The sequence below is a fragment of the Homo sapiens genome, chromosome 3 (assembly GCF_000001405.40).
Source record: "Homo sapiens chromosome 3, GRCh38.p14 Primary Assembly".
Taxonomy (NCBI): domain Eukaryota; kingdom Metazoa; phylum Chordata; class Mammalia; order Primates; family Hominidae; genus Homo; species Homo sapiens.
The window spans coordinates 38,088,659-38,103,489 of NC_000003.12; the positions used below are offsets into that span (position 1 = coordinate 38,088,659).

At 48.8% G+C, this 14,831-nt stretch overlaps 1 protein-coding gene across 11 annotated transcripts in view, besides 1 other annotated feature; it reads left to right on the plus strand.

Annotated features, from left to right (window-relative positions):
• DLEC1 (DLEC1 cilia and flagella associated protein) overlaps positions 1 to 14,831 on the plus strand; it is an 84,818-nt gene that overhangs the window by 49,451 nt on the left and 20,536 nt on the right. For all 11 annotated transcript variants that reach the window (XR_940527.3, NM_001321153.2, NM_007335.4 and 8 more), the window contains 9 exons: positions 4,132 to 4,222; positions 4,947 to 5,109; positions 6,221 to 6,413; positions 7,230 to 7,288; positions 7,911 to 8,079; positions 8,524 to 8,617; positions 8,849 to 8,979; positions 9,086 to 9,244; positions 11,628 to 11,767. Coding sequence is in view for 10 of the 11 variants with exons in the window: in NM_001321153.2 (NP_001308082.1) it covers positions 4,132 to 4,222; positions 4,947 to 5,109; positions 6,221 to 6,413; positions 7,230 to 7,288; positions 7,911 to 8,079; positions 8,524 to 8,617; positions 8,849 to 8,979; positions 9,086 to 9,244; positions 11,628 to 11,767 (1,199 nt within the window). In the remaining variant the exon portion in view is untranslated. The remainder of the gene's footprint in view (positions 1 to 4,131; positions 4,223 to 4,946; positions 5,110 to 6,220; positions 6,414 to 7,229; positions 7,289 to 7,910; positions 8,080 to 8,523; positions 8,618 to 8,848; positions 8,980 to 9,085; positions 9,245 to 11,627; positions 11,768 to 14,831) is intronic.
• Positions 9,198 to 9,697: an enhancer, noted in NCBI's record as "H3K4me1 hESC enhancer chr3:38139347-38139846 (GRCh37/hg19 assembly coordinates)". NCBI's record gives its function as "activates a minimal SCP1, AML or CMV promoter by ChIP-STARR-seq in primed H9 embryonic stem cells {active_cell/tissue: H9 hESC(primed)}" and the evidence as "EXISTENCE:reporter gene assay evidence [ECO:0000049][PMID:30033119]".

Here is a 14,831-nt window from a genome sequence, read left to right on the forward strand (position 1 = left end):
CAATGTCCAAGCTGCCTCCAAGATCTTCGCTTGGTTCTTCAGTCTCTCTTGGGTCTTCCCTCCCCCAGGCCCCTCTATCATCTGGTACCTGATTATTGCGGTTATTGTGGCTTTGTTCTCACTTTCCTGCTTCATCCTCAGTTTGTATAGTCAGCAAGGCCCAACTCCGTTACGCCTCATCCTGAACCTCTGCAGAAGCTCTCAGTGGTCTGCCCCTGGCTGTGGGCGTCTCCTTTCCTAACTGGCCCCTTTTGCTGCCCCCTTCAGCTGATCACACCTGCTTGCTGGTCCCCAGAGGTGCCCATGAGAAATGGTGATACTTCCTGTCCCTGTTGCAGCACACTGCCACTCTCCCCGACTCCTGGTCTAGGAGTCTGACTCCACTTCATGTGACTGGGTGTGGGCTGCTACAGACATGCTTGGCCTTTCACACTAGCCTGCCGAGGGAGGCCCCTGACATTCAGGAGCAAAAACCGTCTGGCTTCTGGGGGTGGATTTGGCCTGTGCCATATCACCAGGTAGTGAGATCCAGCAGCCCTTATTCTTAAACTCAGCTGCACATTGCAATCACCTGAGAGACCTGGAAACAACACCAAGGCCCTATCCCTGAGGTTCTGAGTTCACTAGACTGGGCTGTGGCCTGGGTGCCGGACTTCTAAAGTCCCCCAGGGAATGCTGGTGTGCAGCCAAGTTGGAGTTCAACTGCCACAGCGACTCTGCCATGCTGTCAGGAAGGGCTTCCTCTTATCAGCTGCTTTCTAGTTTCAAGTGCCCAGTAGGTTCTGCAGCCCTAGGATGTGGCTCTCTTATTCATGTCCCTGCTCATCTGATCCCTGATGAGAAACTAGTTCTTGGGATTGAGACTGAGCCAGTTCAGGGGCTTTGTCAGGCCTCATCTACTGCTGAGGGGCAGGTTGGGTCTACAAGGCCCATACACAGGCCAGGTTCTCTGTTCTCTTGGTGTAGTCCAGGACTTGTCACAGGCTCATCGAAGCTTTAAGGAATTGGAGCTGCTCTGCCCTGGACATCCCCCTCATCCCATCCTCCTGGGATCTCCAAGTAAAGGAAGAGGGTAGCAGCAGGACTCTTAGGGGAGCAGTGAGGGAGCTGGGGAAGGCTTTCCCCTTGGCATTTCTTGCGTATTTTGTTTACTGATTGTTTGGGGGTTTGTCTGTTCCAAAATGTATTCATAGTTCCAAATAAGAAATACATTTGCATGATTAAAAATTCAAAAGAGAGACTGGGTGCAGTGGCTCAGGTCTGTACTCCTAGCACTTTGGGAGGCTAAAGCAAGAGAACTGCTGAGTCTGGGAGTTAAAGACCAGCCTGGGCAACATAGTGATATACTGTCTGTATAGACAATTTTTAAAGTAAAAAATAAATTCAAAAGAGCCAGGTGTAGTGGCTCACACCTATAATCTCAACACTTTGGGAGGTCAAGATAGGAGGATCACTTGAGGCCAGGAGTTTGAGTTTACAGTGAACTGTGATTGAGCCACTGTACTCCAGCCTGGGCAACAGAGTGAAACCCTGTCCTAAAAATAAATAAATAAAAATAAAACATTCAAAAGATGTAAACAGGTAAACAGTGAAATGCTCCCTTTCACCCCAGTTCCTCAGCCATCCAGAGGCCATACCTGGCCAGTTTTCTGAATGCCCTTCCAGAGATAGTCTATGCCCAAATAAGCAACTGCACATGTTTTTACCCCCATTTTTTTCTTCACACACAAAGTTGCCCACTCTATACTCTGTTCTTTGCCTTGTGTTTTCTACTTAACTCTATATCTTAGAGATCATTCTCATATGTTTTAGTAACTGCATAGTATCCTACTGTGTGAATGGACCATAATTTAGTTCAGCAGTCTCCTGCTGATTGACCTGAAGATTTTTTTCTGATCTCTGGCTACAAATTATGTATAAATTATACATACATCACTCTGTCCAAGGATGAGTCTACCCACAGGATACAGTCCTTGAAGTAGATTTGCTGATCCAGCGCTTTGTGCCCTCATAATTGTAAGGCATGTTGCCAAAATCCTTACCATGCGGATTGTACCAATTTATACTTTCAACAGCAGTATGTAAGGGTGTCTGTTTCTTTACACCTTTGCCAATACAGTATATTATAAAACTTAGAAACTGTTCATGGACGTTGTATATAAAAACATATACAAAAATAGAGAGAATAATGATCATCCATGTATTCATTACTCATCTTCAACAATTATCAACCCTTGGCCAATCTTATTACATCTATACCCCTCCATTTCCCTCAGACATTCCCCACCCTGCTCTTCTAGATTATTTTGAACAAAATCAAGACAAAATATCATTGCATTTAACAGAATGAAACTAGACCTGTGTCTCTCACCATATACAAAAATTAACTTATTAATAAAATGGATTAAAGATTTAAATATAAGACTTGAAAATGTAAAACTACTAGAAGAAAATGGTGGAAATCTGTATGACATTGGTCTGGGCAATGATTTTTTGCATATGATCTCAAAAGCACTGGCAACAAAAGTGAAAATAGGGGCCAGGTGCGGTGGCTCAGCACTTTGGGAGGCTGAGGTGGGAGGATTTCTTGAGCCCAGGAGTTTGAGACCAGCCTGGGCAACATAAGGAGACCCCATCTCTATAAAAAATTTAAAAAACTAGCCGGGTGTGGTGGCATGCACCTGTGGTCTCAGCTACTTGGGAGCTGAAGTGGGAGGATCGCTTGAGCTCAGGTGTTAGAGGCTGCAGTGAGAAATGATCACACCACTGCACTCCAGCCTGGGTGACAGAGCAAGATCCTGTCTCAAAAAGCAAAACAAACAAATGAACAAACAAAAAAACAAACATGAATAGACAAATGGGATTACCTCAAACGAAAAAGCTTCTACACAGCAAAGGAAACAAGCAACAGAGTGAAGAGACAATCTGTGAAATGGGAGAAAATACTATCACATCTGAGGAGGGGTTAACTCCAAAAATATATAAGGAACTTAATGCAATAGCAAGAAAACAACCTGCTTTTTTTAATGGGCCAAAGACCAATTAGACATTCCTCAAAAGAAGACATATAAATGGTCAATGAGTATATGAAAACATTCTCAACATCATTAATCATCAGGGAAATGCAAATTAAAACCACAGTGAGCTCCCACCTGACACCCGTTAGAATGGCTATTATCAGAAAGATGAAAGGTAAGTGTTGGCGAGGATGTAGAGAAAAGGGAATCCTTGCCCGCTGTTGATGGGAATGTAAATTACTACAGCCGTTATGGAAAATAATATGGAGTTCCTTCAAAAAATTAAAAATGGAACTACCATATGATTCAGCAGTCCTACTACTAGGTATATATACAAATGAAATCTGGCTGGAGTGCAGTGATGTGATCATTGCTCACTGCATCCTCTAACTCCTGGGCTCAAAAGATACCATTTAAAAGATATCCGCACTCTTATGTTCATTGTGTCATTCACAATAGGCAAGCTATGGAATCACCCTAAGTGTCTATTGATAGAGGATAAAGAAAATGAGGTATATGTACACAATGGAATAACAGCCCTGCAAAAGAAGGAAATCCTGTCGTTTGCGACAACATGGATAAGTCTGGAGGACATTATGTGAAGCCAAGCACAGAAAGACAAATACTGCATGATTGCACCTATATGTTGGACCTTAAATAATTGAACTCATAAAAGCAGAGAATAGAATGGTGATTACCAGGGTTGGGGGTTGGGGGAATTGGGGAAAAAATAGAAAACAAATCATTGCATTTATGACAGCTCACCTTCTGCTCTTTGCCAGTATGAGTGGTAAAAAGCCGTTCTTCTGGATGGTTTTCATTGACATTTCTCTTATTATGAATGAGGGTATGTGTTGTCATTCATTTAAGGGCCATTTGTATTTTGGTCTCTGTGAACTTTATCTTCATATCCTTTTAGCTTGCTCCCTGCTTTTCTCTGGGGTGGAGCTAGGGTAAAACACTTGGCCTTAGGAGTAAGGTGGGAGGTGGCAGGGAGGGGAACAGAGAGTGAAGAGCAAAGAAAGGGGTGTGTGTCCGAGAGGAGGAGGGTGGGAGGCGGGGAGGGTGGAAGCCCTTTAATGGGAGGTAACGGAACAACCCTTCTCTCCCCCAGGTCTTGTTTTCCCCAAAGAGCCTAGGAAAGGCAGAGCAGACCTTCATCATCATGTGCGACAACTGCCAGATAAAGGAGCTGGTGACCATAGGTGGGCTTGAGTGTACTCCCAGGGGCAAGGCTGGAGAGGCTGCCCCAGCTCCAGGGGCCACTGACCACAGTAGCATTAGCGGCAGCCCACCTGTTTCCTGTGTGTGTCAGGAGCGCACATTAAGAATGCTGCAGCCTCCAGGTGCCAGAGTCTCGTTTCAGGCCCATTGCTCTGGTCTGACTTTGGAGACCAAGCCAGTGTGGCCTCCAAGACAGTCCAAGGAGCCTTCTAGCAAGAGACAGCTGGAAACCTGGGGTGAAATCTTTCATTGTTTCATTTTGAAACTCACTTTGATCTCCTTTGGGGAATTGCCAGTGGCTCACACATAAACAGCCAGAGCCACCTCTAGATTTCTGCAGGGTTAGAAGAGGCATCCTAGGAATCGTGACAAGATGCCCCTGGCCGCCCCTCCCTCTCTTCCTCCCTCCCTCCTTCCTTCCCTCTTTTCCTCCTTCCCTCCCTCCTTTTCTCCCTTCTTCTCTCCCTTCCTCATTAATTGAGTGTCTGCTATATGCTAGGTTCTCAAAATCACCTCCTTTTGGTCTTCAAAGATGTGAGAACATTAACCTGTGGGCGGATATCCCCCTTTTCCCTCCAGTGTGAGCTTGCAGGAATCATGGTCAAGGCCAGCTGCATGTGGATGGCGGCATGGGTCCTGCAGCAGCCTTGGCCTGATTTCAGCCCTAGTGAGCCTTCACTGACTTCACTTACTCTACTTTGGCAGGAATTGGGCAGCTGATTGCTTTGGATCTGATCTATATTTCTGGTGAAAAAAGCCAGCCAGACCCTGGAGAGCTCACAGACTTAACAGCCCAGCACTTCATACGATTTGAGCCTGAAAACCTTCGGTCCACGGCTAGGAAGCAGCTGATTATTAGAAATGCTACGTGGGTAACCCCTGTGTGTGCCCCAATACCCAACCCTTCTTCTTGCTTACCTGGCCCTCAGTCCCAGTGAGACAGGAGGTCCTTCCAAGGGCCTGGGGAAGACTGGGCACAGAATGGATATCCAAATTCAATTGAGGGATCCAGATTGACCCAGTCTATCATGGAAACCAGTAGCCACTCTTGGCTACTTAAATTTAAATCAATTAACATTAAATTAAGAGCTCACTTCCTCAGTGGCACCAGCCACATGTAGCTAGTGGCTGTCATATTGGACAGTGCAGATCTGTAAGATCTCCATCCCTTCAGGAAGTTATGTTAGATAGTGCTGCCCCAAATCATCCTGGACCATCCCTAGCCAGCCCCAGCTTTCCAGAGAGGACATACCATGCCTGTGTAGGGGAAGCCATCCAAGTCCCAGGGGCAGACAGACTATAGTCTGTGGGTTTCATTCTCCTTGCCATTTATTTCCTGACCCGCCTCTGAGCACTACCATGAAACCAGGACAAATCTCAGGGAGCCTCCCAACCAGGGCTGCCCTGGGGACCCCAGACATTACACAGGACTCTGTCATCTCTCCCCCGGGATAGCTGCAAGTCCTGCCCCTCCTATGCTATGGAGTTGCCACTGTTCCTGTTGGCAGCCAGTAGGCACATATCTTTCTGGACACAGCTCTCCTGGGAGCCCATAACAGGAAAGGCAGAGGGCAGGAATGGGGTTGATGTGGCAAACCTTGGAAACTCATGTGGTGAGAGACACTGCAGAAGATCTTCCCAATATTAGGGGGTGATGTATAGCCTCTTCCACTTTAATGATTGGAACATGAGTTCCTGACTTACCATGTCCCCTGAGTCATGGTAGGTCCAACCTCCAGCTGCCATGGCTGGGAAGCGAGGAGCTCTCTTACATAGTCTCTGTCTTAGACTCCCTCGCCCACTTGCTGCCCCTCCTCCATTGGAGGGTCCTCCATTGGAAGGGTGTGAAGGCTGACCTGGTTTCTTCCTGTTCCTAGGTCCTTTCCTGCTCCCTCTTGGAGCAGGGCAGGGAGGCATGGGGTGGAGGGACCTGGTCCCAGCAGAACTGGGACATGGCCTTGGATGCGTTGCCCCCACAGGCACGTGGAGCTGGCCTTCTACTGGCAGATCATGAAGCCCAACCTGCAGCCCCTCATGCCTGGAGAAACCTTCAGCATGGACAGCATCAAGTGCTACCCCGACAAGGAGACTGCCTTCTCCATCATGCCCAGAAAGGGGGTTCTAAGCCCCCACACAGACCACGAGTTCATCCTGAGCTTTTCTCCTCATGAGGTTCAGATGGTGTCATCTCAGTAGCCACACATGGTTGGATCATGTATTTAGACCCCCCACCTGTGTTCCTCAATCACACTGAAGCCACAGCTGGGCCCACCGAGGTGCTATCCTGCCCAGGCCAGCACTTGGCTGAGTTGGGTTGGAGTACACACCTGGTGTGCAGGGTGAAGCAGCTCATTTTGTCTGGTCCTGATCCCAGACTCACCCCATCTGCAGCAAGACCCTTGGCTGGCTTCCTCCGCTCTGGGTGTCTCCCACATGTCTACTATGGCAAAAAACATTACCATCCCCACCCATACCACAGCATCCCCTAGAGAGAGTGAGGTGCAGGGACCCGAGGGCCAGGTTAGCACAGCGCTGGCCCCAGCATGGAGGGAAGCCCTGTGGGCCACGGTAGGCTAGAAGGGAATTCGAGCTGGGCATGAAAAGGATGCTCCGGGGCCATTGTTAGTGGGTTTGGGGCTGAGATGAGTGATCCTGCCTCTGGTCCCAGCATCCAGCTGCCTCGTTGTCTATCCTGGGAGGGTGTGGTGCTTCGGACACGTTGAGGGGCTTTGTCAGCATCAGGAAGGCCTTTGCTTCTTGCACCCAGGCCCAGCTGAGACAGGCCCCTGAGTCCTGGCTCATGTTCTGGCAGCAACTTCACTTTTCCTAAGGAGGGGAGGAGGCAGCAGGGAAGCAACCCTGGGTTTTCAGAAGGTCCTTCTGATGGCTAGGCTAAGGGGAGGAAGAATTCCTGCCATGCCCCAGCCTTCTCCAGGACAACCTGCTGGAACGCAGTGGTGTTTTCAGGGCACTGTGTTTGCCTTGCAGCTGAGGGATTTTCACAGTGTGCTCCAGATGGTGCTAGAGGAAGTCCCAGAGCCTGTAAGGTGAGAGAAACTGGGCCCTGGATGAGAAGTGGGCAGCTGGGCCTTCCCCCACCTTGGGGGTTCTCCTGGGGAAGGTATCAGGTGAGGGGGAGTGGGCAGCCTGGTCCCCGCAGGCTTTGGGGAGTGAGAGCATTTTTTTTGCCTTGCCCTGGCAACCCAGCCCTGCAATGGGCTGAGCACACTAAGCTCGCTAAACTCACTATGAGGCCACCCCAGGAACTTTGGAGCTGTGCCCCAGGCCCATTGTTGCTCTTGGGGAGCCAAACTGGGGGGCCCTCGGTGGTGGTGAGTGTGGAGGAAAAGCTTTGCCCCCATGGTGTAAACCTTCAGGCTGGGGCTCCAGGCAGCCCAGTGCAGAGATCCCAGGCTGGAGGGCTGCAGATGGTCCCTGGAGGCAGCAGGGCAATGCCCCGTCCCAGTCCTTATGCTAAACCACTGTCACAGCCATCGGTGCTTATCACCTTTCAGGCACTGGCTAATGCCTTTGATTTAGGGGGCTCAGGAGCTGTGGGTTAGGCAGTGTTTTTTTTTTCACAAGGCCAAACGTGGGACAGAGGCAGGGACACTCTAGGATGTGCTTCCAGGTGTGCCGGCTCCTAGCTAACGGTGGGTTTGTGTTTAGTTCAGAAGCGGAGAGCCTGGGGCACTCCTCCTACTCTGTGGATGATGTGATTGTCCTGGAAATCGAGGTGAAAGGCTCAGTAGAACCTTTCCAGGTTCTCTTAGAGCCATATGCCCTCATCATCCCAGGGGAGAACTACATTGGGATAAATGTGAAGAAGGCTTTTAAGGTAGGTCATTGTCTCTCCCCTGCCTAGGCTGGCCGAGGCAGTGTTGACATGAGTGCAAGTGTAGGGAGGATATAGCAGGAGGGGCAGATGGTAGCAGCCACTGCATGGAGGCTGAGGCCATTCCCAGGGCTTTGAACCCAACTTGACTTGCACAGATGCATAGGCCAGGCATGGCTGTCTTCTTTTATCAGCCTCCCAGAATCCTCTGAAAGTTAGGGCTATGGAACCTATTCCCGTCCTTGGCAGAGTATGTCAGCCACAGGCACTGCAGTGTGGAGGGAGGGTGCTTTTGGGTTGGGAGGCCCATGGCTTTGGGTGGCCAGGAATTAGCCGGGAAGTGTCATATGGACTCTTTACGAGCCCACAATCCTACAGTCCTTCAGCAGGTACAGAATTGACATGAAGGGGCAGTAAATGGGCAGCCTGGTCTCGGGTGTCTTTCAGATGTGGAACAACAGCAAGTCACCCATCAGATACCTGTGGGGGAAGATCAGCGACTGCCACATCATTGAAGTGGAGCCCGGCACAGGGGTCATAGGTACCTTGGGGACTGCAGGAGGGGTTGTGACCTGCCTGGGGCTGGCTCAGGAAGAAATCTTCAGAGTTAAAGGGGCTTATGCAGGGCTCTTGGTGTCCTGTGACTGCTCTGGCTGAGGCCTGGGATGTGAGGGAGATGAGAAGTCTGTGCAAGCCAGATGTCTGGGCCCAATCATAGGAGGAAACTGCCTCTGCTTCTCCTCTCCACCTCTCCCTTTCCCTCTCTTCTCAGAGCCCAGTGAGGTCGGGGATTTTGAGTTGAACTTTACTGGGGGTGTCCCTGGCCCCACAAGCCAGGACCTGCTGTGTGAAATCGAAGACTCGCCCTCGCCAGTGGTGTTACACATTGAGGCTGTCTTTAAGGTGCTGCAGGTGGAGCTGGGCAGTGGGGTGGGCCCAGAGAGGTGGCAGGGCTGGGACACTGAGCCATCCCCAGGTGGCCCAGTGACAGGCCCTCTGGGTGTCTCAGGGGCCTGCCCTCATCATCAACGTCTCAGCCCTTCAGTTTGGTCTGCTCCGCCTGGGGCAGAAAGCCACAAACTCCATCCAGATCCGGAACGTCAGCCAGCTCCCAGCCACATGGCGCATGAAGGAGAGCCCAGTCTCCCTCCAGGAAAGGCCTGAGGATGTAAGTCAGGCACTGCTGGTTCCTCTGGTGCCCCCACAATGAGCCCGTTTAGCTTGCCCTGGTGAAACTTGCCCTGGTGTGTTTAGATCAGAGCTTCGAGGCTGGTGGAGGAAAAGCCTGCCTGGTGACTTCGGCCTGGCGGTGCCTCCTGTTCTCCCCATCGCTGAGGCAGCTCAGCTCCTCTCTACAGCCAAATGTAATCCCCCATCAGCATTTCCTGTGCCTTTCACTACCATCGGATTTAGAAATAGGGCGTGGGTTTCTCCCTCAGAGCCGTCTGAGGCAGGAAGAGATGGGCAGCTAGGTTGGGCAGGAAGCCTCCAAGGCTGCTGCTGCTCCAGCCGCATTCCCACCTCCTCCCCACTCTCTGGAAGGTTCAGATCCTCCCAGGGATCTGCTACCAGATGGCATCTGGTCACAGGCTGGCAGCCCAAACCCAAGGCTCCAAAAAGAAAATTCAAGATTTATTTCGACTCAAATGGCACTTTTCACTATAAAAGTAGGAAAAAAAGCAGCTAAGTATTATCATAATCATATTTAAATGCAGTGGGCGATCTGGAACAAGACAAAGTCACACAAATCACCAGCTACTCGCAAAATGCCCGCAGTGAGTCGTACATCACCGCCCCTTCACCACGGCATGGCTGCAGCTCCCTGGTGGACTGCACATGTGAGACCCTGGCCATGTCTGGTGACCACACTCTCCTTCTGGCTGCTTCCCACCGAGGTCCCCATCCTGCTTGCCCACTTGCCCTCCGAGTCAGAACACCGCACACTTTTCCTTCTGTATTAAGGAGCCCAGGGAAGACAATCCAAGCCATGCATATACCTTATTTTGCTAGTGTGCATTCCCTTTCTGCAGGAAAGTGGGCTTTCCTTTCTATTCCAGGGAGGCCTCGCTCCTTTACCTGATGGCCTATAGCTGGGCACTCTGAAACCTAGAAGTTATGACAGTGTGCATCAAATTGCCAACGCCATTGCCAAGTACCTGTTACACAGGCTTGGAGTTCAATACTTTCCCTCCCAGGGCTCATCCATCTCCCACCATGGATCCTGAAACCACAAAAGACTAAGGCTGGCGCTTGGGCTGGGATGGGGCTGGGGGCAGGGTGGCATCAGTATCTTTAGTGTCCACATTATGTTTAGCCAAGAACCCTTTCTTCAAATGAAACTTTATGCAAAAGCCCAGAACATAGAATAAACTGTGACTGCTCCAGCCACCCAGAGACCCCCTTGTTAGGCACCTCTGCCCCATCCTGCTTCTCCCCACATTCCAGTCCCCTGCACTTCTAGGGATTTCCTGGGATTTTCCAGAGCACAGTTAGAAGCTTACAGACCTCAGCCAGCCTCCTCATTTGATAGAGGAGAGACTGGAAGGGGCAGGGCTTCCCCAAGGTCATACGGCTGATGGGTAGCGGCATCACATCTGATCCCTCTTGTCTAGTTTTCAGTCTGTGGTGTTCTCCCACTGTGAAGAATAACTATGTTTTATAATGGAAATAATTGCCAATGTTATAGTATTGTAAGATAATTCCCTCTCTACAGTTCTCTGCACTCTATTCTTTTGAGCTCTCAAAAATAATGTTGGGATTTGGGGTTTGTTAGATGGTCTCAGATTAGGGGACGCAGAGCTGCTGAAACCCAACCCTAGACTACAGCCACCCCCAGAGCTCCAAGGGAGATGCACATGAGCAACAAAGACAAAATAAAGCAAAGTGGCTCCTTACAGGGACAAGTGTCCTCTCTCAGTCAGGGCAGGAAGAATGGAATGTAAAGAGCCCTCCCCAGATGGGGACACTTTTCTTCCTGCTCTTTCCCTTCCCCTCTCCCTTTGTGTGTGTGCCTGGCATGGGAGGAGGAGCAGACCGGGGGCGGGGTGGGGGTGGGGGCGGGTAAATGAGGCTGAGCCTGCAGTAGGGGACAGAAGGAAGGGGTGGGGGAAAGACCACGTGGGTGCAAAGGAGAAATCTGGCCACAATAGACTCTCCCCTCCCCTAATCTAGTGACCTGGTGGCTTTCCTCAGTTGAAGCTGCTCAGAGGGCTACCCCCCTAGTTTGGCTCACCAGCTCTCCTCTGGCTCCCCAGCTCTCCCCATTTTCCCTGGAGCACCTCCCTCCGCCTTCTATCTCTCAGATCTGGGCCAGGGCATGGGGCCCTCTGACTTATGTATTCCTTTACTTGGAGACTCAGTTTCTATGCTCTTAATCCTGAGACTCTTGTGGCTGTGGTCCCCCACCTGCTTGCCTGTTTCTGGATCCCAGATGGCTCTTGGAAGAGCTGGGGCAGCTTAGGAGTGACTTTGGTTAGGCATGGCCAGCCCCCAGTTCCTCTGCAATTCCAAGTGTCCTCAGTGCTCATCCTCCTGAGTGTTCTCCGGGGCAGGTGTCTCCCTTCGACATTGAGCCTTCGAGTGGCCAGCTTCACTCTCTGGGGGAGTGCAGGGTGGACATCACCTTGGAGGCCCTGCACTGCCAGCATCTGGAGACCGTCCTGGAGCTGGAGGTGGAAAATGGTGCCTGGAGGTAAGGGTGCCGTGGGAAGAGCCACTACAACAAACTATGCATATTCGTGATGTATTTATCTATATTATATATTTATCTAGAGATGTTCTGGATTTAAAACTATTGAATCCAGAAAATTAGTATTCTATAAAATTTGTAAATTACAGAAAAGAAACTCAAAATGACGCATAATCCATTCCCTAGGGATGATCCACTGATAATATTATGTATATATCTTTCTAGGGTGTGTGTATTAAAGAGATGTAAATTAGTATAACTACTTTCGAAACTACGTTAGCATCAGCTAGTGTTTGCCCTTCTGAGTATACTCCCAGGGAAATCCTTATACATGCACAGTGGGAGATGTGTGCTCATGTTGGAATGCTCAGACTGGACTGTTCCTACAGGAAAAACTAGAAAAAACCACTGTCTGTCAACAGGAGAATGGACATTTAAAAAGTGTGACATATTTAAATAAGCACATACCATTGTATTCTGGGAGGAACATGCTAGAGGTTTCAAAGGTATTGGTAGTATTCCTTTTTTTCTTCTTCATTCTCCCTCCGCTCCCCCACTTCCCTCCTTTTCTTTCTTTCTAGTGGAAAACTTCTCATATATATAAAAACAGAAAGAATAGTATAATAAACCTCCACATACTCTTTCCTCCCTTCAATAATTGTCAACTCACTGCAAGTACTGTTTCATCCATATCCCCTATCTCCTTCTCCCCACTCCTTCCCAAATTATTTTCAAATAAAATATTCATTTTCCTGCTGGGCATGGTGGCTCACGCCTGTAATCCCAGCACTTTGGGAGGCCGAGGCAGGCAAATCACGAGGTCAGGAGTTCGAGATCAGCCTGGCAACATGGTGAAACCCCGTCTTTACTAAAAATACAAAAATTAGCCAGGTATGGTGGTGCTCGCCTGTAGTCCCAGCTACTTAGGAGGCTGAGGCAGAAGAATCACTTGAATCCTGGAGGCAGAGGTTGCAGTGAATGAATATATATATATATTCATTTTCTTAAGCTGGCTGGTGATAATATTTTGTTTCTAAAGTTGTGTGGAGGTAGTACATAGATGTTGTTTTATTATTCGTTAAACTATATATATGTTTAAACTGTATATATGTTTTATACTCATTTTTGCATATATTTGGTGTTTCATTGTAAAAACATTTAAATGCTCATTTAAATCTCTGTGGATGCTCTTGAATTATCCTCCAAAAAGACTGTGTCATTTTATACTTCTGCCTACAGTGTGTGAGACTAGCCATTACCCCACACTTTCACCATGACAAATGTTGTTGGACTTTGTATACTTGACCATCTGACAGTTGTTCAAATGTCCCCTCCTGTGATAACAAATACAGGTCTAGGTATGAGTCTTTGCATTGGTCCTTCAGGGCAATTTGCGGGCATTAGATGTGAAGGCTAAGTCTGCCTGCAGCTCAGGGGAAGGGCTTTCTATTAAGTCTGTGCTTATTTCCTTTCCTTTTCTGTCTCTGTTCTTTCTCCTGAAAGGACCTTGTATTATCAGAATGTTTACAGTAGCAGGTGATGGAAACACAGACATTACCAACTTAGGCAAAAAAGAGGAAGCATTGGCTCACGTAACTGGGCATTCCCACCTTGCTGAATCCAAGGGCCCAACACTTTTCCCTTTGTCTGGTCTTCTGCTTCCTCTCTTTCTCTACCCTCTTTCCCCCTTCTCTACCTCCATCCCAGCCCCAACCCATCTACTGCTCTTTTTTTGTGGGCCCTTCTCTCCCCTATTGACAAGGGCCCTTCGCACTCTGCCTTGGGGAGAGGCCACTTAGAGCTCCAGGCTCACACACTCCCACCTTAACAATCTCTGAGAGCCAATCTGGCTCTTTGCAGAGATAGGCCCTGATTGCTCTTGCTCTTGTGTGGGTCATGTACCCGCCCCTTCCCCTGCTGGGTGACAGGGAGGATCTGTCTCCAGAAGAGGCAATCATGTTTCGAAATTTCAAGCTTTGTTGTTCTTGCGTCTTTCCTTTTCTATAGTAATCTGTTATAGTCTTATCAATGCAACAGCCTCTCAGATTCCCCCAAGAAAATGAATTTCTGTTTTCCCAGATGTTGGAGTTCTTCTTTACTTTTTGAGTTTTCTTCTGCTTCTAGTAATCTTTGCCTGTCCAGTCCTGTTTTTGAATGGAGGAGGAAGTTGATTTGCATAAGGAGCTGGTGTTGTAAGTTTCTTCTGAGTAAAAGGGGGTAGATGTGGAGAGCACCCCTATTCTAAGGGATGAAGTACATGTGAGTCACCACCCTCAGAGCACACAGCTAGCCTGAATCCATCAGAGAAAGGGACCTTTGGGGAAAACAGCCCTAAACAAACAGTGGAGAAAACCCATACTGGGCAGCTACACAAATCAATTCGTGCCTTCATTCATAAATAAGAATGAAGGAATAGCATCTTTCTGGTTGTTTCCTCCTCATGACAGTTGAGAGGTCCAGTGTTACTGCAGGCTCTGCCCTGGCCTCTCTCCAGCGTGATACCCACAGTCTTCAGTGGGGGCAAATACTGTGGCAGCCCAGTCTTTTTCTTAATTTTCAATTTTAATTTTTATTATTTGTACAAATTTATGGGGTACATGTGCAATTGTGTTATGTGCGTAGATTATATAGTGGTCAAGTCAGGGCTTTAGGGTATCCATCACCCAAATAGCATACATTGTACTCATGAACTAATTTCTCATCACCCATTTCCCTCCTATGCCCTCACCCTTCCGAGTCTCCGTTGTCTATCATTCCAATCTCTATGTCCATATGTACACGTTTTTAGCACCCACTTGAGTGAGATCATGTGATATTTGACTTCTGTGCCTGGGGCAGCCCACTCTTCCATGTGTTGCTCTGAGCTCTGGGGCTGGAGCCCTGACCTGGCTAAGCCAATGGATCTTCAGCAGTGCTTTGCTCAGCTCCCCCGCCCTTTGATGCCCTCATTCCATCATTAAGGATTGCATTGCACGTAACCTGTGCAGGGATTTCAAGCAGCAGTTTTGTTCTCCTCTGTTTTATCAGTTAACCTGATCACATTATTTCTTTCTCCTATTTTCTTTTC